The sequence below is a fragment of the Homo sapiens genome, chromosome 15 (assembly GCF_000001405.40).
Source record: "Homo sapiens chromosome 15, GRCh38.p14 Primary Assembly".
NCBI lineage: Eukaryota > Metazoa > Chordata > Mammalia > Primates > Hominidae > Homo > Homo sapiens.
Genome location: NC_000015.10, coordinates 76,335,574 through 76,361,404, shown reverse-complemented (window position 1 = coordinate 76,361,404; position 25,831 = coordinate 76,335,574). Strand labels below are relative to the sequence as shown.

The 25,831-nt window shown below is 47.1% G+C and overlaps 3 protein-coding genes across 21 annotated transcripts in view, besides 10 other annotated features; 2 read left to right on the top strand and 1 right to left on the bottom strand.

Annotated features, from left to right (window-relative positions):
• SCAPER (S-phase cyclin A associated protein in the ER) overlaps positions 1–13,501 on the top strand; it is a 557,437-nt gene extending 543,936 nt beyond the window's left edge. For all 19 annotated transcript variants that reach the window (NR_148227.2, XM_017022273.2, XM_011521653.4 and 16 more), the window contains 3 exons: positions 7,265–7,456; positions 10,117–10,168; positions 12,669–13,501. Coding sequence is in view for 18 of the 19 variants with exons in the window: in XM_017022273.2 (XP_016877762.1) it covers positions 7,265–7,456; positions 10,117–10,168; positions 12,669–12,772 (348 nt within the window). In the remaining variant the exon portion in view is untranslated. The remainder of the gene's footprint in view (positions 1–7,264; positions 7,457–10,116; positions 10,169–12,668) is intronic.
• Positions 14,581–14,750: a silencer, noted in NCBI's record as "silent region_6688". NCBI's record gives its function as "represses an Ori minimal core promoter by ATAC-STARR-seq in GM12878 lymphoblastoid cells {active_cell/tissue: GM12878}" and the evidence as "EXISTENCE:reporter gene assay evidence [ECO:0000049][PMID:35858748]".
• Positions 14,758–15,259: an enhancer, noted in NCBI's record as "H3K4me1 hESC enhancer chr15:76638487-76638988 (GRCh37/hg19 assembly coordinates)". NCBI's record gives its function as "activates a minimal SCP1, AML or CMV promoter by ChIP-STARR-seq in primed H9 embryonic stem cells {active_cell/tissue: H9 hESC(primed)}" and the evidence as "EXISTENCE:reporter gene assay evidence [ECO:0000049][PMID:30033119]".
• LOC124903532 (uncharacterized) lies at positions 17,981–19,012 on the top strand. The gene has a single exon (XM_047433420.1). The coding sequence runs from the start codon at positions 17,981–17,983 to the stop codon at positions 18,623–18,625; it is 645 nt and encodes a 214-aa protein (XP_047289376.1). The 3' UTR covers positions 18,626–19,012.
• On the bottom strand, positions 18,930–24,632 carry ISL2 (ISL LIM homeobox 2). Its single transcript, NM_145805.3, has 6 exons — positions 24,464–24,632; positions 23,438–23,627; positions 22,891–23,153; positions 20,846–21,129; positions 20,104–20,271; positions 18,930–19,686 (listed from the first exon to the last, which is right to left on the bottom strand). The coding sequence occupies exons 1-6, from the start codon at positions 24,519–24,521 to the stop codon at positions 19,570–19,572; spliced, it is 1,080 nt and encodes a 359-aa protein (NP_665804.1). The 5' UTR covers positions 24,522–24,632; the 3' UTR covers positions 18,930–19,569.
• Positions 20,512–21,267: an enhancer, noted in NCBI's record as "H3K27ac-H3K4me1 hESC enhancer chr15:76632479-76633234 (GRCh37/hg19 assembly coordinates)". NCBI's record gives its function as "activates a minimal SCP1, AML or CMV promoter by ChIP-STARR-seq in primed H9 embryonic stem cells {active_cell/tissue: H9 hESC(primed)}" and the evidence as "EXISTENCE:reporter gene assay evidence [ECO:0000049][PMID:30033119]".
• Positions 21,465–21,674: an enhancer, noted in NCBI's record as "active region_9881". NCBI's record gives its function as "activates an Ori minimal core promoter by ATAC-STARR-seq in GM12878 lymphoblastoid cells {active_cell/tissue: GM12878}" and the evidence as "EXISTENCE:reporter gene assay evidence [ECO:0000049][PMID:35858748]".
• Positions 21,695–21,764: an enhancer, noted in NCBI's record as "active region_9880". NCBI's record gives its function as "activates an Ori minimal core promoter by ATAC-STARR-seq in GM12878 lymphoblastoid cells {active_cell/tissue: GM12878}" and the evidence as "EXISTENCE:reporter gene assay evidence [ECO:0000049][PMID:35858748]".
• Positions 23,312–24,123: an enhancer, noted in NCBI's record as "H3K27ac-H3K4me1 hESC enhancer chr15:76629623-76630434 (GRCh37/hg19 assembly coordinates)". NCBI's record gives its function as "activates a minimal SCP1, AML or CMV promoter by ChIP-STARR-seq in naive and primed H9 embryonic stem cells {active_cell/tissue: H9 hESC(naive and primed)}" and the evidence as "EXISTENCE:reporter gene assay evidence [ECO:0000049][PMID:30033119]".
• Positions 24,292–24,791: an enhancer, noted in NCBI's record as "H3K4me1 hESC enhancer chr15:76628955-76629454 (GRCh37/hg19 assembly coordinates)". NCBI's record gives its function as "activates a minimal SCP1, AML or CMV promoter by ChIP-STARR-seq in naive H9 embryonic stem cells {active_cell/tissue: H9 hESC(naive)}" and the evidence as "EXISTENCE:reporter gene assay evidence [ECO:0000049][PMID:30033119]".
• Positions 24,292–24,897: a biological region, named in NCBI's record as "Sharpr-MPRA regulatory region 228".
• Positions 24,549–24,598: an enhancer, noted in NCBI's record as "active region_9879". NCBI's record gives its function as "activates an Ori minimal core promoter by ATAC-STARR-seq in GM12878 lymphoblastoid cells {active_cell/tissue: GM12878}" and the evidence as "EXISTENCE:reporter gene assay evidence [ECO:0000049][PMID:35858748]".
• Positions 24,603–24,897: an enhancer, noted in NCBI's record as "tiled region #228; HepG2 Activating DNase unmatched - State 1:Tss, and K562 Activating DNase unmatched - State 1:Tss". NCBI's record gives its function as "activates a minimal TATA promoter and a strong SV40 promoter by Sharpr-MPRA in HepG2 and K562 cells {active_cell/tissue: HepG2 | K562}" and the evidence as "EXISTENCE:reporter gene assay evidence [ECO:0000049][PMID:27701403]".

Genomic DNA, 25,831 nt, shown 5'->3' with positions numbered 1-25,831 from the left:
TCTGATTTGTTCAGTATTCCATTCCCAGTGCCTAACACCATGCTTGGCTAGAGTAGATGCTCAGCAAATATTTGATGAATGGACTCATCTCTCTGCTGAAAGGCCCGCTTGCTTCTTTTCACGTTCTTGACTGAATTCCATGTGGTCACAGTTGGAGGAAAGGTCCCTCTGGGTGAGGGAATCAGGCTGTTTTACATTTATACAACGTGATAGACTCTCCATGGGCCCTCCTAGCCACTCCTTGGAATTTTATGGAGTGAATTTGACAGTTGTCATTTTACAAATGTGAAATCTGCAAACTCTCTCCAGGAGAATTTGCATTTTTAATCCAGATTCGTGATCACTCACTATCCCACCTCCACTTTCCTTTTTTTTTTTTTTTAATTTAAATTTTGGGTAACACCAAGTATTAATATTACAAATATATTTGACATAATAGCATTTCTTTCAAAAATATAAGACCAGTTTTGCAAGGCACTCAAAACCTGTCAAGGCTGCTCCAGAAGGCATCCAAATAAATGGCCATCCTAAGACAGTACTAATTTAGAGTCATGTGTTCCAACAGTTCACTCCTGAGAATCTAGTCCCATCACCAACCCTTCCTCTCTTTCAAGTTCTTACATCTGATAATTTGAGACAAACCCTTGGCACAGCCAGCACATAACCAAGAACTGGTTATTTGATACCAAGCCAAGAAGAGTATAGGTTTTTGAAAAAAAGTCTTTTGTGTTAGTTTAATCTATGTCAGTTGGTTTGTTTATTTGAATGGCAGTATGTCATCCTCATCTTCATCCGGGCTGGCAGAGCCATGCAAGAAGCTGGCTGGCAGCCAGTCATGGAAGTGAGTTCAGGCCTAGTGACAGACAGCCCTTCTGCCCAGGAAGGAATGGGCTCATGAGTCCAGTGACCGTAGATGGGCCTTTGAGGTGAGGAAGAATCTAGCATTTGGAATAATAAGAGATTGCTAAGCCCAGCTCTACCAATGACGAGCTGGAGGACCCAGGACAAGCTCTCTTGAACTTTCTGAGCATTAGTTTCCCCATTGTAAGAGTATAGTCATCCCTGTCTGCCCATTTCAGAGTTTAGAGACTTGGATAATGTAGGTAGAGGGGCTTTATAGCCTACTGAGTACCATCTCTGCCAGTAACAGGTTTTCTGCTGTGTTAACTGAGGTTTTGGCAAAGCATTGTCCTAGAAGGCCTTGAATTCCTTCATACCAAGTGAAACACCAGTTTTGCCCATACCTGCAAAAGGAGGAGGCTTTTCCAGAACTCTTATAACCAGACCAGGGATCCCTGAGTTGGTGCCCAGGATCCTGAGGATTGTAATCCTAATTTCCTTCTAGGGTAAGAGACAGCTTATCACAAAATCTATTCTTCAAGGACTTAATGTGCAGACCTAAGGTGATGTAGACACCATTGAAGCCTTCAATCCAAAATCTGCCATCTGTATTTCATGAGACAAGATGTGGTATGATTCTACCCCAAGTCAAGGCACCAATTAGTTTGTTAACTAGGGGCCCCCTGTCACTTTATTTCATTCATTCCAGTAACTTTGAGGCCCTCCTTCAGTGCCTAGCCCCCAGCAGAGCAATGGAGGATTCAATACCAAAAACATAGTTCCTGCCCTTCTGTAACTTGGGATTCAGCTACATATACTTAGTTATGTGATAGTTGCTGCCATGTCTTTGGGTTGAACAAGAAAGGCTGCCTTTGGCTGTTCTGCCTGGGAAGACTTCCTGGGCTTAAGGATTTCCTTAAGTGCTTCAAGGGAAGCTCATCCTTGCTCTCAATCAGGAGCCCACAACACCAGCCTATTAGCTTTTGCTCTTCCTGCTCTGTTTTCAGGTTGACAAGCCTAACACAATAGCTTCAAAACACACACATGCACAGTAAGTTAAGCCACTGTTTCTTTGTACCACTTACCTGTATTTCTTGGATCATGCTTTTCCTGGATTTTCTTTTCAGAGCTGTCAGAATACATTTCCTACTCTGCCACTGCAAGATCCTGGCTGGCAGCCCCATCACTGTTTGCACAGCTCTCTCGTGCAGGCAGGGCCAGGGAGAGACCTCAGCAATGGCTTCCTACGTGGCACGAAACTTGCTGATGAGTCCCAGCAAGACAGTGGGGCCTGCCTCTGCCAGACCCTGTGCTCTGAAGAGTAGTCCTTATGGAGAGATGGGGCTGGGGTGATGGGGAGGGGGGCAAGATGATGGAAAGCATTTAGGAAGCCTCACACTGGGAGGGGGCTTCAGGTCTAGCGGGAGAAGACTCAGAGCAGCAGAACTGGTCAGCTAACCAAACACTCATAACTAACATTGTTCTGTACTTTATGGTCACAGACACTATCTCATTGGATCCTCATCTAAATCCTGAAGGCTACCATCTACCCTCATTTTATAAAGACTCTAAGGCTCAAATTAGTTAAGTGACTATAGCAGATCAGGGGGCAGAGCCAGACCTAGAGCCCAGGGCTGCCTAACACCAGCACTCTTGAGCTGTAGCTTCATGGTTTATGGCCACTGACAGACAGTTGGCCCAGGGAAAGCCACTCAACTGACTCTGAAGTGCACCTGGTTAGAGATGGTAGCCTTTCTAATGGAACATAATTCCGGCTGAGGTTGATGAGAAATGATGAGGATTGTGCTATGGACTGAACTCTTTTCCCAGAATTCATATGTTAAAGCCCTAACCTGCAATGTAGTTGTATTTCGAGACAGGGCTTTTAGGAGGTAATTAAATGAGGTTGTAAGGGCAGTGCCCTAATCCAGTAGGACTGATGGCCTTATAAAAGGAAAGGAGAGATCTCGCTCTCTAAATGCCCTCACCAAGGAGAGACCATGTGAGCACATAGCAAGAAGGCAGCTGTCTGCCAACAAGGAAGGCCCTCACCAGCCCCACCATGCTGGTTCCCTGATACCAGACTTGCAGCCTCCAGAACTGTGGAAAATAAGTTTCTGTTGTTTAAGTGGCCCAGTCTATGGTATATTGTTATGGCAGCCCAAGCCAACTAAGATAGTTTTGTATTGAATCTATAAACTTCTTCCCTCCACTGAAAATTCACCTACGGTTTCCAGGTGTCCACTAGCCTCTGCTTTGAAGACCAAAAGGGGAGCTATGCACCTACGGTCTTGTCTCCAGAGAATGATCAGGAATAGCTCCAAGGAAGCCTTGAAGTACTCTCTCTTGTGTTCTGTTTAGTCAAAGAGTTTCCATCTGATTTGTCCCAAATTCAAAATGTAGGAATGTAATTTTCAGTGAGAAAGATTATATTTATTTACTGATTTATTTTTATGTGTGTCTCCCATCTTTTTTAAAAATAAACTAGGGGGTACAAGTGTATTTCTGTTACATGGACATATTGAATAGTGATGAAGTCTGGGCTTTTAGTGTAACAGTCACCTGAATAGTATACGTTGTACCCATCAGGTAATTTCTCATTCCTCACTCCTCTCCCACTTTCCCACCTTTCCCTCCCATTTCTGTTCTTTCACTCTCTATGTTCATGTGTACACAGTATTTAGCTCCCACTTATAGGCAAAAACATGTGGTATTTGACTTTCTGAATATTTCACTTAAGATAATGGCCTCCAGATCCATCCATGTTGCTGCAAAAGACATGATTTCATTTTTTTTATGGCTGAGTAGTATTTTATGGTGTATTTATATATGCCCATACATACCTCACTTTCTTTATGCAGTCATCTGTTGATGGACATTTAGGTTAGTCCATCTCTTTGCTATTGTGAATAGTGCTGTCATAAACATACACGTGTGAGTATCCTTTTTATATGGTGATTTATTTTCCTTTGGGTAGATACCCAGTTGGTAGTTCTATTTTCGGTTGAGAAACCTCCATACTGTTTTCCATAGAAGTTGTACTAATTTACATTCCCACCAACAGCGTATAAGCGTTCTCTTTTCTCTGTATCCTCGCCAACATCTGTTATTCTTTGACTTTTTAATAATAGCCATTCTGATTGGTGTAAGATGGTATCTCATTGTGGTTTTAATTTGCATTCATCTGATGATTAGTGATGTTGAGCATTTTTTCATATGCTTGTTGGCCATTTGTATGTCAAAAAGAATATATTTAAAGATCCAGCATTTTGGGTCATCTTCTCATTCTTAATTGGGTACTTGGTGACACCGGTGTATACACTTTGTGAAAATTCAGCTTATTCACCTAAGCGAGGTAGGTGAGTGGCCATAGGGGTGTGTGTGTGTGTGTGTGTGTGTGTGTGTGTGTGTGTGATGTCAATAAAAAGGTTACTTCTTTTTAAATTCACCACCTTAAAACCCAGAGCAATGGAGCAATTTGCCTAGGGTCACAAAGCCAGTTGGTAAATAAATACAAGAACCCAGATCTCCTAGCTCTTTAGTTAGCACCTATTTAAGAATCACATCCAGGAACAAGGTTCCATTTCAATGTCTTTTGATCTGAATGTTGTTGGAAATTCCGTTGATTTCCTCAGAGCCCTACTCTGCGTCTGAAGGTGGGCATCATATTTGAAAGACTGCTTCTGATTACTATTGAGGCCATGCATGCTCCCTACTTGCTCTCTCTGGCTGATGAGTGTGGCCACCAAAGAAATCTACAGGTAGTCCATTCCCTGCCGTTGGTGCAGTGCTCTGGAAGGAAGCTCTGTGGGAAGCCCCTTTATGTTTGTGTTGGCCTTGTGCACTCTGAAAGATGAGGCAGGTGGCTGGCCAGGCTCACAGTGGTGCCTGCCTTAGGACTTATGGGCAGCCCTTTGTCTGGACAAAGGTGACAGACCAACAGTTATTGACTTAGTAAGAGCTCCATCAGTAAGGCAAATGGAGAGAACACCATAGTGTAAATCTGAGATGTCTCTTAATTATGCGTATTTTGTTCATTGAGCAAGACTCTCATATTCCATGATGACTCCACTGACTTTGGAAAGCTCAAGCAGTCCAAGTGACATTTTACCACCTAAGGCCTAAGAGTGAATGGTGGGATGAAATAAAACTGAGCCCTACTCTCATCTCCACATCTTTCAAAAAGCCCCTCAGACAACCCTCTCAAGACAACCCTACTCAAAACCCTGATCATTAAGGTCAGGCTGTTTGCATTTCCAGCCCTGCCCCCTGCCCCAAAGGGTAGTGCTTAGTCCAATTCAGCTGACGGTTCATCTGTGCTCATGACATCAGACTGCCACCCTCTATGCCACAAGCCCACCTGAATTAGCCCACTGAGTGTTAGTGCTGTGGGCTGGCCCCTTCCTGAACCTCCTGATCCTGTCTCCACAATGTCTAAAATGTGGTTGGAAAGACAGCATAGACTAGATGTCCCATTCTGGCTCATAACCAAGCCATGGGGTGGTAGGGTTGGGGGTTCTCATCAGTCGTAGTAGACTCCTTACCTGTAGCCTGGTTAAGTCCTGTCATACGTGGTCCAATGGGTAAAGCTCCTTAGAACTCCAATGGTAACCAAACTGCCTACATCCATTTGCATCTTCTGCAATCCAGGGATTTAAAAGTAATGGCTTCTGGCAAGTCATCTCACTACACTGCTGGTCATCTCTGTAAACTCGCTCTGTAAACGGCAGCTGATAACTAGCTCTGTTCCTTGAGGGAACCAACAGGTCCCTAAGGGGCTCTGCCTCACTCCAGTGAGGTTCAGGAGCCCAAATGGAGTAAGTTCCAGTTAAGCTCTTCATGTTCTGTGCTGATATGCCAGGCACCAGGAGTTGTCTTTAACATTGTACCTGCACCAGCCAGGCTGGCCAGTGTAATATTTTTCAATTAGCAAATCTTCCAATAATAGCGTTTTAACAATGAAGATCTAAAGAAAAAACTTGTTCTTAATTTTTGTCCAAGGAGGGGAAAAAAAAAAAGAAGACTTCTAATAATCATATCATCATAAATTCTAATGTGGGGAACATTTGGCTGTGTTACAAAATTTGCAGCTAATAGTTAAAATAAAGATTTAAGTAAATGCCTTTATCAATAAAGTAAATGATAGGGCATATTCTTCTCAGCCAGAGTCAGAAATGGCAGCACATAGCCATGTGCTGAATTGTCACACAGTGCAAGTCTTTAAAATTCCTTCTGGATTTGAAGGTATTAACAAGTCCCTATCAACAGTCTCTAAAGGCTTTTGATGTCATTTTAGCTATTGAACGAAAATATGTGAACTATTACTTTGTTGATTTTGTTCTTAAACTAAACTGCATTATCATCTGAGAGTGTGTTCTTAAAGTATTGTTAAAAGTACTTTGAAAACTTGTAAATCCCTGTAATTTATGTTACTCCTGCCTCTGCTGTTTCATTCTTTCCTTCTGGTTTTAATTTGAATGTAGTCCTGTCTGGGTGTGTACCTGTAAAATTGTGTTTTTCCAAGTACAATTTACAGTTCTGACCTTAGGTTTACAGTGTTCCCAACCATCTAGGAGCTTCCTCCTATACCACGAAGTGGGCTTTGGGTCACCCAGCTCTTTCATATTAGAACTGTCTAATCAAGGTTACTTGAAACAGATCTAATTTTGACATTTCTTAGTTTATCATGGAGGCCTAGGGAGTAAATTAAGAGGGCTTCCCTGCAAGCCCATTCGTTGCATTGCCCTATTTCTTTAAATGTACACAGTTGTAAACTTAAGACTGCTTCAAGACAACAGTCTCATTTATCTAAACAGTTCTCCTTTTAGACTCAGTGGCACTGATGGAAACAAAGATAAGAAGTATAGATTGGAGGAAAGGTCTTTTGGAGCCTATAACTTTTTTTGAAACTGTTCCCATTTTCCTTAGAATTACCTTTTCTTTCTTGGACCTGCCTGCATACAGAATAGATCTGTCTGCATTGAGTGTATTCAGTGAGCTAAGCTAAGGGAAGACTGCAGTGGGCAGGGCCTTACTTTCTTGTGAGTGAACTCTTTGCAGGTTTTAAGGAATATGACTACTCTGCTTTAAGGGGGTGTGGGGAGCACTTTGTTAAAGCAATGTGCATTCTGAATCCATTTCATAGGCGTCCTTACTCCGTGGCAGCTACACCTTTAATCGTGGATTATAATAACTTTTAAATGAGTGCAAAACTTTCAGGATCTTTTCCTTAAGTTGGGAAATGAGATTTTTTTTTTCTGCTCTTTTCAAGTATCACTTAAATTAAGCTCTGGTACGGAGTCAGGAGTCTTTTTCTTTACACTCCTTCAGCATGTTTTCCATGGTACTAGCCGACACTGTGCAGGTGGGTGAGGGACAGGCTGGGGCGTTTCGGCAGCTGACCTGGGCTGCTCTTCCATTTCAGGTGATCGTGCAGTCCGGCCGCCACCCCACAGTGCTGCAGAAGCTCTGCCAGTTGCCCTTCCAGTATTTCAGTGACCCACGGCTGATCAAAGTACTGTTCCCTTCACTTATCGCTGCTTGTTACAACAACCATCAGAACAAGATCATTCTGGAGCAAGAGATGAGCTGTGTTTTACTGGCCACTTTCATTCAGGTACCTTCTACATTATACGTAATTGTCTAGCTTTGTGTGTAAACTAATGCGACAGAAATGTAAAAGTAAGCCAGCTGTTTATTTTTGCCTTCCATACTACCTTTTAAAATCTTCACATATTTATGTGCTCCAAAATTGATTTCTAAAATATCAGCATAGTTTCTGAAATATTACTGGAACTGCGATTGGGTGTTGTATAATTTCTACTTGGAGGATTTCAAAGAAAGGATACTTTTCTAGTTAATGAAATGGTAACCCGTACTCAGGAAATGTTTTTAAAAGACTGCCAGACTTCTTTAAGGCTTTAACTATTGTATTTATCTTGCTTTTATTCTAACTATAGGAAATAGATAATTACTGAAGAAAGATGAATTAAAATTAGTTTATTTGTACATTTTTAAATAAATATGATTTTCTTATATGTATAAAATAAAAACCTGTTATATTGATTTTTTTAATGTAAAACAACTTTTAAGTACAGCCTTATATTTTAAATTCTGTAGGGCTAGAATCAGAATTAGTGCCATAGCAAAGTACTATTTCCACATCTAAATTAACTTAGTCAGCTGAAAAACCAAGTTGACTATGCTTTAACATTTGCTACTAACTAACTCATCCTGTGAATTTCTTTTTGTCATTATAGAGCATTATTTGCTGAAAATCTCCCATTTCTTTCACATGTTCCACCATAAGATGTGTTTTTGCTCCATGACACACATGTGATGAGTAGACAGTACTTTCTGGTCTTCAGAATAATGAAACAGAAAGCAGAGTTCTGTATTAGTATTCTTCCATATTCTGGTGAATATACATCTATCTCTGTCAAAAGGATATGATAGTACCCAGCTGGCTGGGAACTAGAGGATAGCTAAGGAGTTCCCCGAGCCCTCTTCATCTTAGACAACATTTCAAAGTTTATGTTTTCCAAACTATCCTGTATTAGATAATTAATAAACGCAACTAGATCAATTATGTTAGAAAAGTTTTGTTTTCGGCTTAATTGTTCTGTTTGAATCTACGTTTTATTTTCTGGAAAAAAAGTTAAATTAGATATTTAGATCTACAAATATGGATTTCAAAAACTGTCTTATAGTTAATATCTTAAGAAAATTTTACAGTATATAACATCATATCAACACTTAGGATTCTTCATATATTTTTAGAGCCTTAGGATTAAATTAAATAGAAAATACATTATGGACCAGGTGTGGTGGCTCACATCTGTAATCCCAGCACTTTGGGAGGCCGGGGTGAGCAGATCACTTGAGGTCAGGAGTTTGCGACCAGCCTGGCCAACATAGTAAAACGCCGTCTCTGTGGGCACCTGTAATCCCAGCTACTCGGGAGGCTGAGGCAGGAGAGTAGCTTGAACCTGGGAGGCAGAGGTTGCAGTGAGCCAAGATCATGCCACTGAACTTCAAGCTGAGTGACAGAGCGAGACTCCATCAAAAAAAAAAAAAAAGAAAATACAAATACATTATGGATAATTTTAAGAGTGTGCTCTTTCTAAATTCAGATTATTCATTCTTTTATTGAACAGGTAATTTTTGAGTGTGTAAGGTGTGCTGGGCACTGCAAATACAGCAACAAATAAAACAGATAAAAATTCCTGCCTTCACAGATCTTTCATTAAAGTGGAGAAGAGTCAAGCAAAAGACAAAAAAAAAATTAGTAAAACAAATAGTATGTCAGATACTATGCTAAGTGCTATGGCAATAAGTGCTGTGGAGAAAAGTAAGGCAGGAAAAGGAGCTAGGGACTTCAGGGAGATGATGTGCAGGTTTTTATGATGTGGGCAGAGAGGCTTCAACAAAGAGACAGTGATGTTTGAGCGAAACCAATTTCACATCTGTATCAGCTTAGTTCCTTATGTTTTCAACTGCATAGACAATGACTTATAATGATACAAATGATATCAGGATCTAAAGATTATATATATTTCTTGTGTTTATCTGATATTGATCACAAAGTACTAAGTCTACCTTTGTCTTACAAAAAAAATCTGTAACATAAATTTTGTAAATGCTAAAAAAAATTTCTTATATTGTTTATTTCAGATAGCATATTAGACTTGTAGAGTTAAATCAAGTGTTTTTCTATAAATAATTGTGCTCAAGAGAATGAATATAGATAGGATTTTAGTTTATAATGTGGTTCCTCAAGGTCTCTTATGTGTTACATTATAACTGAGTTACTAGAAAATGATATTAAAATAGCAGCTGGTTGTCTTAGGTTTCTGAAGATTTACATATTTTATATTACATTTTTCATTTTCCATCTACATGCAAAATTACCAGACTTTAAGATTTAGCTGCAGAATACATAGAGCTTTCATATTTGTACTTTTTAAAAAAATGATCAACACCTGTTGATATTTTAAGATAGTAAATTTGGCTTAAATTTTAGTTTTATTAGATAAAAAGTTGTAATTTCCAAAGTAGGCAGCAAGTTGTCCCCTGGTGATAATTTAGCAAGATGTAAGTCATTACTATTTATGAGAACCTGCACTACGTAACATCAGTTTCTTCAGCGTTTATATTTGGGCCCCAAAATATTCATACAAAAGTGGTTGCATGAATCAGAAGTATATTTAAAGCCACCCTTAGTGAAATTCTCTGTTCATAGCATTGATAGAAAAACACTTTTCTCTCCTCATACAGGATTTGGCACAGACTCCAGGTCAAGCGGAAAACCAGCCTTACCAACCCAAAGGTATGTCTCTATTGAAATTAAATTTCATGTGTTTGTTAGCCAAATGGACATCTTTCTTATCCTTTCCTCTGGAACTGCTACATTATATGTAAAATTTTATACATAACCTAAAAATATTTGAGATTCAGATACCAAGTATATTTCAGTAAGTAAAGAAATCGATTTTGTCATGAAGCATGAATGCATCCAAATATGTATAGAAATCTGTGGGAGTAAAAGAAAAGCACAAATATCTTTGTATAATTTATAATCATCTCATGCAAGATATATTAAATGGTAAATAATTACTAAAGAGCCGCTTTGTAATACAGGAGCCAGATCATTAATACTGGCCCACATTTCTCACATAAATGCTGAAATCACATAGGTTTGGTTCCTTATCCATGTTCAGAATAAAGTTATCAGTAATAGTAGCCCACAGTTTCCCCCCAAGTTCAAGTAGTTGAACTTTTGTTTTGAAAATAATTGTTTTACATGGAGAAAAAGTCATCTAATTGGCAAAGTCCAGGGCAAAAGATTTACAAGTTGTTTTTTTTTCCTATAGCATTCCTGCTGGGGTGTTTGCTGTGATCAGAGTTAGAGATGTAGAATTTTTACCACATTTTTACTTTTTTAAATATTCTGCTACCCAGACTGTAATTGAGAAGTACAAGTTGCTCTTTGGGTGTTATGACAGCATCTCTGATGAATGAGAACCTAATCCAGATCTTCTTCAATTCTTCCATTAGTTTGATAGTCTTTAAAGTGGCCATTTAGAGGTACACTCCCAGCAGGACCCTTTAGGGCACCCACCAAGAAACCCTTACTTGGTGGGGGTGGGGGTGTTACCTTGGACTCTTTCACACACACACACACACACACACACACACAAAGTCCTCTACAGTGGACAGGTGTTGAAAAGTGCACAGAAGAAAATATAACTAAAGCTATTACAATATCATGAAAAGAAAAAAAAAAGACGTTTTATTGACTCAGGCACCCAGAAAAGTTAAACAGAAAGCTATGCAACTTTTCAGAAATTCAAGTCCACATCCTTGTCGGTACCATTTGTCTGAGCAAGAATTAGTCTGCAAGTTCAGTTCTGCCCTGACCCAGTCACAGCCCTTTTTTTGTTTTGTTTTGTTTTAACTACTGGAGGATACTTGGGGAGAAATCAGCAAAATGTGTTACTGTTCTTACAAAACAATTTCATTTTGAATAAATTAAAATGCTTAGAAAAATCTAATGTATTTATTTTCAATTGTACAGCAGTTTTGTTTTGTTTTGTTTGCCACTAAGAAGTATAAGCATTTTTTTCTTACTCTTTCTCCTGATCATAAAGATGAGTCACAATTTGTTACATTGTCTGGAAGACACAGTCCCAGAAGCTGCCTCTCTCTGCTTGGTGGACTGAGGCCTGTGGAAGTCTCAACCTTCTTTCTTTTCCAAGGGACCATCTTCCCTGATTTTCATGCTTTCCCCCAGTTACAGTAGGCTTAACCCACAGAACAGCAAAGGGGGAATTGGTCTCTCCTTTGCTCAGAAAGGGTCATCACTATGTTAATGACAGCTCATAATATGTTGCTTGATTTTTTTTTTAATGATGATGCCTAAGTTGCCAGTTTGCACCTTGGGTATTTGTTCCCCTTTTGCCTAGATTAAGTCCTCATAAAATGTCTCAAGATATTTTGAGTTCATTGTCCAGGTAAACCTTTAAATATAAAAGCAGCTCTTGGTAATACCACATTCCTATTGCCCAGGAAGAATTTTGGTTTTCAAATACCTACTGCCTGTCTAGCTGCAATTGTTTACTTTACCTATGTCACTGGCCAGTAAAGCTCCTATCATTCATTCCTACTGCTTTGTTAGATAGGCTGTGCTATATTTGAATAATTTTAAAGATATACTTAAAACTACATTCATGTTTTAAATTAAATAGACTTTCAGAAAACGTCATCATTTACATACAGTTTTCCCCTTTCATGGCTAACTTAAGGATAGAATATAGGACTGTCATTTTAGTTTGTTCTTTTTTTTGTTTTTTGTTTTTTGTTTTTTTTGAGACAGGGTCTCTCTATGTTGCCTATCCTGGAGTGCAATGGCTACTCACAGGTGCGATCATAGCAAACTATAGCCTCTAACTCCTGGGCTCAAGCATTCCCCCGACTTCAGCCTTCCAAATAGCTGGGACTACAGGCGCGCACCACTGTGCTTGCCTGGTTGCTAATTTTTTTCTCATTGTGGAGTCCAAAAACATCTTTTTGTAATTTATATAGGGGTTAATGTCTGAATATGTTAAAGGACAAACTGGATTGTGGTTAAAATATATGTCATATATTTTATACTACAGATAGATTGATACATATAGATCAATCACCTTATTTACCTAAATTGTGTCATGGTTTATTTGAAGTGGATATCTCCATTTTATACTCAGATATCAAAATAAGTTTAATTTATGAATCTTCAAAGAATTTAACCCTCTTTTATTTAACTTTTTTCTCTTTTATCCCCCTCTCAGGGAAATGCCTTGGTTCCCAAGACTATCTTGAGCTGGCTAACAGATTTCCTCAGCAGGCCTGGGAAGAAGCTCGACAGTTTTTCTTGAAAAAAGAGAAAAAATAAATGTTTTGGTTGATTCTGTATTTGAGTACCCTTGTTAATATTTTAAATTGTCCAAACAAACATTCTAATTGTTCCTTAAGAACTCATTTTCCCATGTTTATACTCTTCCCACACTGTAGATATGGCATGTACTTTACACTATTTATAATGACTGTAGATACTTGAATGTTCTACTTGCTAATTTTGCAAGTTGAGTTTATTTCATTTATGCAGAGTATCTTGGAGTTTGGTAATTTCCATCTTATGATAATATATACTTTGCATTTGTGATATGGGTGAAAGGAGACATAAAATTAGCAAGTCTGTTTTGTTCTTGTAATAAAGTAACTTATTCTGTTTTCATTGTTGACTTTTCATGTTAAGGAAATACGAATCTGAAAGAAAAATGTTAACTCCAGCTCTTGAAGTATCTTAAATAAAGACTTAATTAAAGTTTACCTGCTCTAAATTTAACTTTTTAAGGTCTACGGTAAAGATATTTGCAACACTTTTGCATTCTGACTACATAATATGTTTGGGGGCTATTTGAAATCAACTTAGGGCGTTGTATTCATTGGTCTGCCCGAACTCTCCTAGCAGATAATCCTCTCTTGGCATTGCCGAGCTGAAATTACTCTCCTAAGGAAAAATTAGTGATAAAAAAGATGTGTCCTAGTGAATCACCCTAGAGTATTTTCTCACATGGTTGTGAAATGAAGCAACGCTGAAATAAAAGTCACACAGAAAGTCGCGATGGTTCTGAATGAGTTTCACATAACTCCTGTGCACCTCTCAGTGTCTGCCTGGAGATGTTGACCTTTTCATGTCTTGTCCTCATCGTTTCTTCACTAAGCCGATGGTCAGTGCTAAGCCGTTCACTGAGTGACATCAGTAGTAATTTCTGTCAGATACTGATCAAACATTACCAAGAAAAAAGATCCGGTTGGGGAAAAAGATCTGAAAATGTATTCGACTCGACACTGCGGGGCGGGGAGGGACTGGAAAATACAGAAGTTGTATGTTTTTCAAAAGCAAACTTACCCACCTAGTGTTCTGGACCCTTCTTTTTGGAGCCTCACAGAGCTGCCGGGTTACATATTTGCTATTTTTTACTTCTTTGCAAACAGAAAATTAAAAGGTATGATTAAAAAAAAAAAAGCTCCTCCAAGTGCGATCGGCGCCCCCGCCACCGCGGGACCCTGGCGTCTCCGTGGCTCAGCCCAGCCGAGCCCCCACCCCGCGGGTGTCCAGCGCGGCGCTCCGGCTCGAGGGCGGGGACCCGCAGCTCCAAGCCAGAGGGACGGGCTTTAGGGCCACCCCTCCAGCCTCGCGTGGCGACTCCGCCGCCGGGCACCAGAGAGCGGGACCCAGGACTCCAGCCGCTGGCCGCGAGTGCTCAGCAACTCCCGGAGCCGCAGGGCCGGGCTGAGTTCCGCGCCTGCGAGACCGAGGGGTAGCCCCTGGCGCCCCCAATGCTCCTCCCAGGCGGGGGCTGCCGCGGGCCCAGCGAGCGGCCCCGGGGTACGGAGGCAAGTGTCGGCCGCAGGCTCCTTCCACACTAGGGATAGGAGTTCCCAAAGCTCGCTGGCCCCGCGCTCTCGGACGCAGGATCCTTGCAGCTGAAAGGAATCATCAAGTATTTATAAGATTTCCTGCAAGATGCTTCACAATAGAATATACTTATCTGGTCGGAAATTTGCCAAAAGCCATAAATAATTGAGACAGCTGTGACTAACCTCCCAGAAACCATACCAGAATTCTCAATTAAACATTTAATTGAACGGTCTCATTGCCCCCTCGTCCCGGAGAGGAGGAGGCGTAAGAAGCAAACCCAGGCCCCACCCAGCCGGGAGCCTGCGCGGCTCGGGCCCGGGAGCGTCCCGGTGCCTCCCGGCGCACGCGGTTCCTGGGGGTCTCGAGTTCACTGCTTTCGGGCGCCCCGGCCCGGTCCGGGCGATTTAAGCTCCAGCTCCCCGGGCTTTTACGGCTTCTAAACTCTCCGGGGCTCGGGGGAGCGCAACGCCCAGGTGAGCGCGGCCGCGTCTGGTTGTAGCTCGCGGGGACGCAGTGCCGCCACAGGTTGCTTTCTGCCGGGGCGAGGGCCGCCCCCCGGCTCTCCAGAGGCTGAGGGGCCGCAGCGGAGACCGCTGGGCGGAGGCGAAAGGCCTCTGCCGGGCCCAGCCTATGAAGTTGACGGTGCGACTGGGCGTATTCGGAGTGAAAGCGACAACTTCGCCCGGGCTTTGCAGCCCAGAATTTGGGTCAGGTAGGAGAGGCTGCCCAAGGCCCGGGAGCAGCGACGTTTGAACACTCAGCGGCGTTGCCCAAGCCAATTCCCCGCAGCGGCGGCGGCTCCCTTCCCCCGGAGCTCTGCGGGGCCCACCGCCCCAGACTCGCAACTGTACGTCGGAGCCGCAGCTTCGGGCCCGGCCACTCTCCCGCCCTCCAGACGCCAGCAGTTGCGAGGCTGGGACCTCGAACCCTGAACCTGGCCCCGGGGAGCCTCGGTCCTGACCGCGGCGTTCCTGGGACATTTCTTCCAGGGCTCTTTGCCACGTTCTGGAAAGTCTTGAGTCTCGATAATCTGGAAAGAAATCACTCCTCACAATCCCCTATTCTTCCACTTCCTCGTCCCTGCTCCCTGCCCCCTCCCTCCCCCACGCCCTAACAGCTGACCTGATCTCTGGTTAGCTACTCTCAAACCACGCCTTAACTTAAACACGCTCTTTCCCAACGGGGAACCGGCCTTCCTGAGCTCCTGCCGGCCCCTGGGCTTACGCCTTGACCCACTCCCCCGCTGGCTCTGACCTTCCGGACCAGGAGGTACCGAGGCGGATGGCTGGATTCACCTTGCACTCCCGCCTCTCTGGCTGGATTGTTGCTGGGGCCCCAAATGTGTTGTATACATTGAGCCGCTCCCTACCCAACTCCACATCTGGATCCCAATGGAGTATTTCCTTGTGCCCTTTCTTGCTCTCATTACTACTCTCAATCTAGCTCTATTCATCTGCATCTTTCATGCACAGTCTCCATCAACAAGGTGCTAGTCTGTACTTGGCCACACAATCCTCATTACTGCACTGAATCCCAGTATTTTCAAGAAAGTTTACTTTTACATCAATCAGACCCCGATTTAAAAGCCTCTAATCTTTCCCGCATCAGCTTCATAAACTCTGAATTTCCTGCTTTTATCACCACTCCCCTGGGAACTTCTCTGCAAATATTCATCCATTGTTTCTCTCTCTAGCATGCTGCTATTTGGCTAATTCTCTTACTCTCTTTGGTGAACACCCATGAGAAAGCACAGCTAACTAAATGTGTGGCCATCTGTGTCCTCCCCTAGGCAGAAGAGGTAGAACCTCAAATTTTCTAGAGAACAATCTTAGACAATATCCATTTAAACCCTGTATTGGCAGCTCTGACAAAATTGAGCTTTGTTATTCCATATTCAAAACACAAAGCCTGATTTCTGTTCCACAATCCATTAAATATTAAAGTTTGTTGGGAATACTGCCACAGGGACTCTGAATTTCCCAGAATTATGCAGTCTTTCAATATGTATTAAATTTTGTGTAAAAACTTATAGCCATAAACTGTCTATCTCTGGGAATCCCTTTCCTTCCTCAATTGCATAGAGCTATCCAAATTAATAGTTAAGTCTTCTGAGAAAATCGTATTCTAAAGTGAATCTAGCTAAATAACTCCCACTTTCCACCTATGGCCTCTTTTATTGAATTTTTTACTATGCAATTGGGTATCTCATATTAAAAGTTCAGTAAGTATAAAATACAACACTTGTCATTGTTACAGGTAATTTAATTTATGGGGAAATCCCTACTGTATTACAAAAGATGTTTAAAGATGACTTGGGAACCCGTAAAACTGATATTTATTAATGTAACTAACCAAGCGTAGATGTGACACCTCACTAGGGACCACTGTAATAAGGCTTCAGAGTTGAATCCTTTCCCTGGAAACCCACATAGAAAACGATGCACCCCTTTGGGTGGGTAGCAACTATGGAAGAGAAAAGCTTGTAATGTTTTGTACAGTGATACAGAGAGATGCAGGAATCTTAACACACAATAACCACTTTTATCTAGGTAACTTCCCAATATTCAAAAAAGACAGACACAATCATATAAATAACAAAAAGAGGAATTTGATTTTTGATTCATGGATGATGAGGAAAGAGATAACTAATTAGATGTTGAGATAACTAATGTAGACGTTTCCATTCATAGCGTTAAAACGCTGCAATCTGTCAAAAGCAAAAATTCAGAGCTAATTAACCATTAATGAAATTCTTTATTCAATAACCTGTTATTTCCTTTTTAAAAAAAATGAGAAAACCCAAATATTCTGGATAAATCAAAAGTTTTTGACAGTGAGATTTATTCGAAGTTTTAGCCCCCTATCTAATGGCCAGCCAGAAGGTAAAAGGAGAAATCTGTATTTCTGTTGGGAAGGAATGGTCTAAGTTAAAGAAAGGAAGCCTCAAAGAACCCAGACCTGATTATTAAAGCCATTTCTGGGCACTTGAGAGGTAAAGCTGGTCCTCATTAACTCTGCATATCTCTTCCCTTATCTCTAAGTTTGCAGCAGCATTTCCTATATCCCAAAGAAGGGGAATGTTCCCTTTAATATTTGTGCCAGCATCACCTTGACATTCAGGAAGTAAAATATAAATGCAGCTCCATTTTCCCACCTCCCATTTTCTTTCAGTAATTGCCAGCAAGCCTTCCATCATCTGCAAGTGGGGTGGGGGCAGTGTGAAGGAATTCTGCTAAAAGCGCTGCTGAAAAACCCACAGTGGCCTTTGGCCATCCAAGCAGCCATGGCTAACAGAAGGCACCTACTTTTCTATCTGAAGACTACAGGGCCCCCCAGACACGTTTTCCTTGCCAGCCCCTACCTAAGCTAAGATGGCAACTATCCCCTACCCAGTTAGGGCGTTGCCCACTTTCAAAACAAACCTTGGACAAAGAAGGATATGCTTGTGGGTCGCTTAACTCGAGGGACAGGGAAACGACAACTCAACGCCAGATGTTCTTACAACAGCGGTGGACTAACTGGTAGTCGGGAAGCTCCCTCAGTCCACTAAGTGAAGGCTGGTCTTGGAAAAGAACTGTCCCAGGCTGCCAAAGGGTTAAATATTTGTAAAGAGTAAAACCTGAGCCTCCGTGGGTTTTTTTTCTTTCTTTCTTTTGGGGTTTTTTGTTTTTGTGTATGCGCGGTTGCCCGGAGGCCTACTGGAGATTCAGTATCTCTCGGTTATTTCCTGCGATCACTAAAGCCAGTTTTCAAGAAAACAAGTCGCAGGGGTTTGAAATGTCACACCAAGTGACCTGGGCACGGCATATCCAGGGGCCATTCCCAGCTCCCTCCCACCCGGGCCACCCCCGACCCCCTCCACTTCGGTCTGGAAAGAAAATAAACCAAGGACACGCCAGACTGGTTCTGGGTGGACTTATTTTCCCGGCAGCCGCGCTCCTAGCGGGGGCTCGTTGCGGCCCCTCGGTGTATCGCTTGCAGGTGATGCCAAACGCAGATAAGCAGCCGCCGCCCGGCCCCCGCCTCTGTCTAGACTGTGGAATTAATAAATGCCGCGGATTGATCACGTCGCGCATCCACTCCGGGGACAGCGCGGGGCACGGCCCGTCACGGCCGCCCGCTCTGGCCGGGGTTGGCCTCACTGCTGTGCTGCAGGGCCAGGGGCAGCGCGCGGGGCTTCGAGCCTCACCCAGGGCCGCGGACCGCTGGGGAAGGAAGCGCCGGGAGGGCCCGCGGCGCCGAGCGAGAGTGGGGCTCGGGGCTCGGCAGGCGCCAGGCCAAGGCTGGTTCCGGGAGCGGGGCGCGCCCTCGCCCGCATAACCCTAGGCCGGAGTCCGCCGCTCAACCGCCACAAGTGCCGCAGGTTTCCCGCCCAAACGGGTCCCGCCTCCTGCCCGCGGGCCTGGGCCGCCAGGTGCCCAGGGGTCGCCAATGGGGCGCTCCTGCTTCTGGGAGGGCCCTCAGCGCGCATGCGCCCAGCCCCACCCCCTCGGCCGCGCCCAATCCCCACCGGGCCCGCCCCGCCCGCAGCACGCGGAGCCCCGGCAGCCGACGCCAGCCTGACCCCTGAACTGGCCTCCGCCGGCCCTCCCGCCGCGCCAACAGCACAGAGGAGTGGCGTCGCCCCGGGTTATTATTTTTTATTAAGATCAAAATACAAGTCCCACTATGAACTGGCTGTTCTCACAATAAATAACAATAACTTACGTTTGTTTGTTCGGCAAAGGCTCACATACTCTGTCCTCCGTCGAATAACTTAAACACTTTCAAGGCAAGTCTGGTTTCTACTGTTTCCCAGCAATCATGCGCTTTGGGAGTTTGAGTGTCTGTTCCTCTGAGTTATCCCCTTCCTTTTCCCCGCTAGGAGCCCGGGCGAAGCCGCCAGGGAGCGCTGAGCTGGGGCAGGGCGGGGGTCCGCGTGGGCGAGCTCCGGGCCGGCCGAGATGGGGACACAGGTGGGGCGTGGAGAGACAGAGCGGCGGCCACGTAGAGAGGAGAGGAGAGGGCAGAGCTAACCCTGGTAAGTCCCAGATTCTGGTTTTGAAAAACTAAGAGTCCTCGGAGCAGGGGTCTGCAGTCTGGTGAAAGCAGGTTGCATCCTGGCGCCTTGGGCTGTCCAGACCGTGTCTCTCGGTACTCTCTCATAAATAACAATAGAATAATTACGAAGGCGAGAGAGCTTTCGGAACTGGAATGGCCTGAGCATGGGTGAGTCTCATGCAGGGAGCATGCGAGGTCCGCGGGCTGGCAGGGAGGGGTCCCCCTCACGTCTCCACGGGACTCGGCACCATACTGTTGGGGGTGTCCGGGAGCTGCGAGGACAGGGAGGTCACGTCGCTGCCGGAGGAGTTGCCTAGGGAGCCGGACTCGGAGAAGGAGACCTGGGGCGGCGGAAACACCGGGAAGAGGCAGGTGAAGAGGCACGCGAGCTGGTGCTCCAGGGCCGCGTGCTCCGAGTCGGAAAGTGTCCCTTGGGGACCGGCCGCCAGCTGAGAGCAAGCCCTGCGGAGAAGGAGGCCAGGTCCCCAGGCGCACGAGGGGGGGATTAGGGCGGGGGAGCGGGTTGGTTAATCCTGCGACCTCTCTTGTGAGCACTTTAATCCAGGGAGACCTGGTTTAGGGCGCGTAATGGGCCGAGGTGAGGTTTCAGAGCCCGCCACTGTTCCCCCTCCCCCACCGCCTAGGGCTGTACCCAGCCCCTCAGCCCAAGGCCACCCCCTCCCCTCTCTGCCAGGCTAAGTGGCTAAATCCCCAACCCGCAGAGTCCCGAGGTCGGGGCGGGTAGGGCAGGGCCTCACCAGCTGTTGGAAGGCGGGTTGGTCCAGGTCGCTCTGGAGGGCAAACTCGCTGAGCGCCTTCCACGGCGGCTGGTACGTCTGCACCTCCACTGCGCTGCCCTGCACGGCGTTCTCATGGCGGATGGGACTGCCCGCCACCAGGGGCGTCCCAGTCAGTCCCTGAAGGCTCTGCGGGGCAAGCAGAAGGCAGTAGGTGCTCGAGTTAGGTCTGGCCTTTTCTGCCACCTTTGAGACTGGAGCTCCAGGCCTTGAGTGATTTAGGGTCTGCATTGCTTTGCGGGGAGGCGCACACTCGATCGCATCGGAAGAGCCCTCTTTCTCCACTGGGGATCTGCGGGGGCCGCAAACTTGCCACGATAGGTCAGCCTCGGTGCTGGAAGCCAACCGCCCGGTGAGGAAAGGCAAGACCTGCACTCCCACCTTTCTGCAGCTGCCGACGGAGTGCACAACCCACCAGCCCGACTGGCGGGCGCTGCACACTGCCATGCAGCCTTGGGCTCCGCGCAGCGCCCGGAACCCGCAACGCGGGGCTGCCACTGGGACAAGGAGAAACCCCGATCCCAGACAAAATAGGAAGCCTCAAATCCAAGGGAAGCCTTGCTGTGAAGGTACAGACATACACCATCTGGAGCGCCCAGTTCTCCCTGGATCTCCCAGGGCTCGCCCAGAAAAGGGCACGCAGATACCGCGGCGGAAGCGCAGCCCCCACCCGACTCGAGCCTCCGGCCCAGCGGCTGCTCACCGTCTTGTCGCTGTGCTGCTGCTGCTGCAGCTGCTTCATGAGAATGGATTTCTTCTTGTCCTTGCAGCGCTTGTTCTGGAACCAGACGCGGATGACCCGCGGGCTCAGGCCGGTCATCTCCACCAGCTGCTCCTTCATGAGAGCGTCGGGCCGCGGGTTGGCGGCGTAGCAGGTCCGCAGAGTGTGCAGCTGCTTCTCGTTCAGCACAGTCCGCACGCGGGTCGTCTTCTCCGTCTGCTTGTGCACGTGCGGGCGCAACGCGGGCTGCCGGCCCGACCCAGCGTCTGCCAGGACAGGGTGAGGCCAGAGGTTAGCGAGGGGCCGCCACCCACCCGCCCCGAGCCCAACCTCCGGGTGGCCCAGCCCCCCGGGGCCCGATTTCGTTTCTGTTTTATTCTGTTTGTTTCGTTTAATTGTTCGTCTTCCTCTCCATCTGTTCGCCTTACTCGGAGAGAGCTGTGCATTTTCGTTCTTTCTCTCGCTCCCGGGCCGGACTGCCCCGCAGCGATCTCTCCCGAGCTCAAGCAGGGCGCGGGAGCTCGGCGACAGGCCGCTGCGGGGAGGGAGTGGCTGCTCAGGGATGTGCCTCCTCCAGTCGCAGGACCCTCGGAACGAGCGAAGCCCTCCGGAAGAAGTCGGAGTTTCAGAGGAAGAGGAAAGAGGCTTGCCCAGGACTCTGGAGAGGGAAAGGGACCGACGTGGACCCAGGGCGAGGCGCTGCCCAGGGGACTGGGTGGGAGGTGCGAATATGCCGGGGGCCTACGAGGGCCCTTCCCCTCCTTCAGAGCCCATTTGGACAGGGCCAGGCCACATGTGTAGAAGACTCATCCACGGTTATGGACGGGCCTCCAGGGCTTGCAACAGTTCCTTCCTGCCCGCCCTTGGGCTTCGGCCCCTGTCTCCTTCCTCAAGGCTCCAGGTTCCCCAGCCCAGTGGCCTCCCACCGACCAAGGTGCTGAGCAGCCGCTGGCACTCTCCTCGCTTGGCCCCAGGTTCTCTCCATCCCGGGGAAACAGTGACTGATTCCAGAGCCTGCACCCTGAAGCCCGAAACAAACAAAGGGGAGCCTCTCCGAGATCCCAGATGGGGGTGCACTGAATACCCGCTTGCTCCCATTTCACATCTCCATTTGATCCCGACCCATATATACCGTGGATCTGTACTGCACCATTTCGGTTTATGTTCCCCTCTACGAATTTCTAGGTCTGGACAAATATTTACAAATAGCCCATCCAGCCCAGTTTCCTCTTTCTATAGGGAGGAAGTGAAGATCCAGAGAGGGGAGGAGCGGGGCAAGGCCACACAGCACCCAGAGGCCCAGCCTGGTCTACGGATCTGTGCTGCAGGCCTATGGCTACCTGGGGGAAACTGCCTTGCCTGGGGTGGAGGCACCTCTGTTTCTGTTCAGCCGTACCTGCCCATTATACACTCAGACCCCATCTCTGGGCAGCTGCTGATTAGGACCCAGAATATTCCAGTGACAGTCCACTATGCATTGATACTCCCCCTCCCCCAGAAGAACCTGGCTAAATTGTTCATCAAACTGGGCCTCAAAACAAGATGGCAAAAACCCCTCTTTGTTGGGTTCTTGGCTCCTGGCTGACCAAGCTCCTGCCCAGCTCCCAGTTTGGAGCTGTGTTACTTACACACATACCCCTGGGCAAACCTTACCCTCTGACAATAACACATATTCCTCCAAGAAATTCCTAATACAAGCCCCAAGACGGACACCACTTAAGATTCCCTGTTGTCATCCACTCTTCTGCTCCTAGCACTGTGCCCTGCATGTTCCTGGTCATGGAGAACACGATTCTGCACAATTCTCCGTGCTCACACACTCATACACACGCAGTTTCTCCCGAGCACACGAGAATACACACAGCCTTGTTCCCAGCACACAGTTCCGCACTGATACAGAAAAACACTATCCCGGCAGACGGAACCACACACAACTGACAACTTCTCGTTAGGGACACAAGCGTACCCCTACACACACGCACGCACATACACCCCGCTCACCCCGGCACAGGCCCCGGCGCGCTTACCGGGCAGATGCAGGCCGCGGGCGCCGGGAAGCGGGCCGGGGCTGCGCGGGCTGCCGGCCGCGGCGCGCTCGAGCAGGAGGCCGTGGTCGGCGCGGCAGAGCAGCTCGTGCTCCCGCAGCGAGAACTCGTCCCCAGGCAGCAGCTGGCGGCTGCACACGGAGCAGCGGAAGCACTCGATGTGGTACACGCTGTCCCGCGCCCTCATCACCAGGTCGCTGCTGCTGAAGCCCACCTGGCACTTGGCGCACTTGATGCCGAACAGCCTGCGGGCCCAAGGTGCGGCGGTGTCAGCGCTGGGCCTGCGGCCGCCCTCATCTCCCTGGCTGCTACGGCTCCGGCGCGCGCCCAGGACACTTTGTGGCCACCAGGAGACTGCGGTGACCCGCCTGCGGGCATTCCCGGGCCCGGGGGAGCGCTGCGGCACCCGTGCGGGATGCGGATGGCCTTCTCCCTGGGCAGGGCCGGGGCGCGCGGGCAGGCCGCCATCCCCAGTCCCGGCCCCGGCCCCTGCGCGCGGTGGCCCAGCCCGCGTTCCCGCCGGCCTCACCTGACATAGTCCCGCTTGCAGTAGGTCTTCCCGTCTCTCACGAAGCACGTGCACGTCTCGTCCAGGTACTGGCTGCACTCGGCACACTTGAGGCAGGCCGCGTGCCACTCGAGGTCGGGCGACACCCGCAGGATAAACTGGTCGTGGATCTGACTCCCGCAGCCCACGCACATGGCCGTCCCGGGCTTCTCTGCCGGGGAAGGGCGCGGGGCCGCGTCAGGCCTGACTGCCCGGACCCAGGCCGGCCTCGGCTACTCCAGCCCCAACCCAACCCGCTCGCTCTCTTGCTCTTTCTTTCAAGACTTGCGACCATAAGGAAAGATGATGAGCTCTCTAAAGGTCCAGGGCATTGGAAACGAAAAACCAGTATCTTGTGGATTGCTGAAGGTTTCTTCTGTCCCCCACCCCAAATATTTCGTTATTACATTCATTAATGACAGTCGTTTTGTCGACGTGTCTTGAAACTAAACGCAAACACGAAACTAAGAAGAGAGTAAATACACAGGCACTGCGGACGCCTGGATATCAACACCTAACGGTGCTGTCCTGGCATTTCCGCTCACACACTCCCACTCACAGCGGCTGCCTCCTATCCCAACACAGACACATCGTCTTTCGGCAGTCCCCGCTCATCCTCTCAGACATTTCTTAGTTTAAATATCCCAGAGCAAGCGAAAGAAAGCTTCCTAGCTTTGAAAAACCGAAAGGCAAACAAACAACAACCAAAAAAAAAAAAACCCACATCCCTAAATCAAACCTAATTGCCTTTGCGCAAAACAGAAGCAGATTTCGCAGCCCGAAGTCATCCTAGCCGGCTTGAGAAATAGTGTTTACTTATAAAATAAAACAACAGGATTCCCAAAGATAAGCAGTCCTGCAGGAGACATGCATTCGTTTTTCCTCTCCTAAACTATTCTGACAAATAGAAGCCACTTGTAGAATCCACTAAACATTTTTCTGCATTAGAAATTTTGCATATTAAGCATACACACACACCCCACCCCACACACACACAGAAATACTTACTCTTGGAATGATCACCCATAGCACCCAGAAAAGGATAATGAAAAATAATATCCACCATGCAGAAAAAGAGATGTGCGCAAAGTGTGCGGCCAGGGGCAGAAGGACGAGGGTCGCGCGCCCGGCCTCGGCTCTTTGCTAACTAACTCCTACTGCCCCGCGGAGTTGAAGGAGCGATTCCGCACCGGCCCGCACGCAGCATGACGTCAACACGCACTAGCCCCGGGCCGGAGCTGGGGGCGGGACCTGTGGCGTCACGAAGCTTCCCCAGAACTGCCGGGGATGCGGGGGAGGTGATGGGGATCCAGGGGCTGATGGGCGGGGTGGGTTGGGTTGGAGGCTGGGGGTGAAGGGAGATTGGCTGGGAGGAAGTGGGCCAACCCTGATTGGCCCGGAGTGAACAATGGAGTGCAGCCCCCCCACCTCCGAAACCTACAAGGATCCTCTCTCATGCCCCGGGCCTGGCAATCTGGACTGGACCTTGCGTCACCGCCGAGCTGGCTCCGCGGCCGTTACAACTCTGAGCTTCCTCTTGGACTTTCGGGGCGGTTTTCCCAGGCGCGCTGGAGCTGGGTGATGGATACCTGAGGGTGGAGATGGCTCTCCTTTAAGAGCTCCCTTCTTATATAAATTAAAAAAAAAAAAATTAAACCCACTCTCAGGACGAGAGAGCCGAGGACAAGGGGGATCCGTTTGGACGTGACCGTCATCGTCCAGCTGGTCACCTTTCTCCTCTCATGTGCCTTTGTTCTTCGGGTCCAAGCTAGAGAGAGTGTAGAGAATGACCACCTGGGTTCTGATAAACTCTATTTAGACTTTCCTATCCACACACACGTAGAAAACTTTAGATTGGGGCATTACGTGGGTTGAGCCAGAACCCAGATCCAAAAGCGCTCACCCGGGACTGGGACGGGTCCTGACTCCATCCTTGCTGCTGCTGCCGCTGCTGCTGCCCCTCCTCCCTCTCCTCCACCACCACCTCCTCCTCCTGCTCCACTTCCTTTTTTTTGTTGTTTTGTTTTGCTTTTAATTTGTTGCTGTTGTTGTTTTAAATGTAACATGGACTTCCCCGCCCCCTCATTTTTCCCCCATCCAAATGGCATAGCTCCTTTTAGGAACACTGCTGGGGTCGATTGCGTGTCCAACTTCCAAAATAAAAGATTTTTCTAAACTCTTGTCCTTCATTAACAAACCCACTGCAATGCAAATAATCAGAAACGAACGTAAGGCGCTGGGTAATTTACAGTGGTATCTGCGAGGCGGCGGCTCGTTGGTCCTGAGAAAATCTGAGAGCTCTGAGCACAGTCCAGGCATTCTTTCAAAGAAATCGCTGTGGGTTTTGTTTGAAAGGGTTCAAAGACCGGCCCATGA

What these genes read in the sequence shown, in the direction of transcription:
- ISL2 (NM_145805.3), bottom strand. Translation starts at nt 24,521, where the DNA reads ATGGTGGATATTATTTTTCATTATCCTTTTCTGGGTGCTATGGGTGAT. An exon ending in TATGGGTGATCATTCCAAGA is followed by an intron (nt 23,628 to 24,463) that starts GTAAGTATTTCT and finishes CTTCCCCGGCAG; the next exon opens with AGAAGCCCGGGACGGCCATG. An exon ending in AACCCGCCTTCCAACAGCTG is followed by an intron (nt 19,687 to 20,103) that starts GTGAGGCCCTGC and finishes CCGCCGCCCCAG; the next exon opens with GTCTCCTTCTCCGAGTCCGG.
- LOC124903532 (XM_047433420.1), top strand. Translation starts at nt 17,981, where the DNA reads ATGCGCGGTTGCCCGGAGGCCTACTGGAGATTCAGTATCTCTCGGTTA.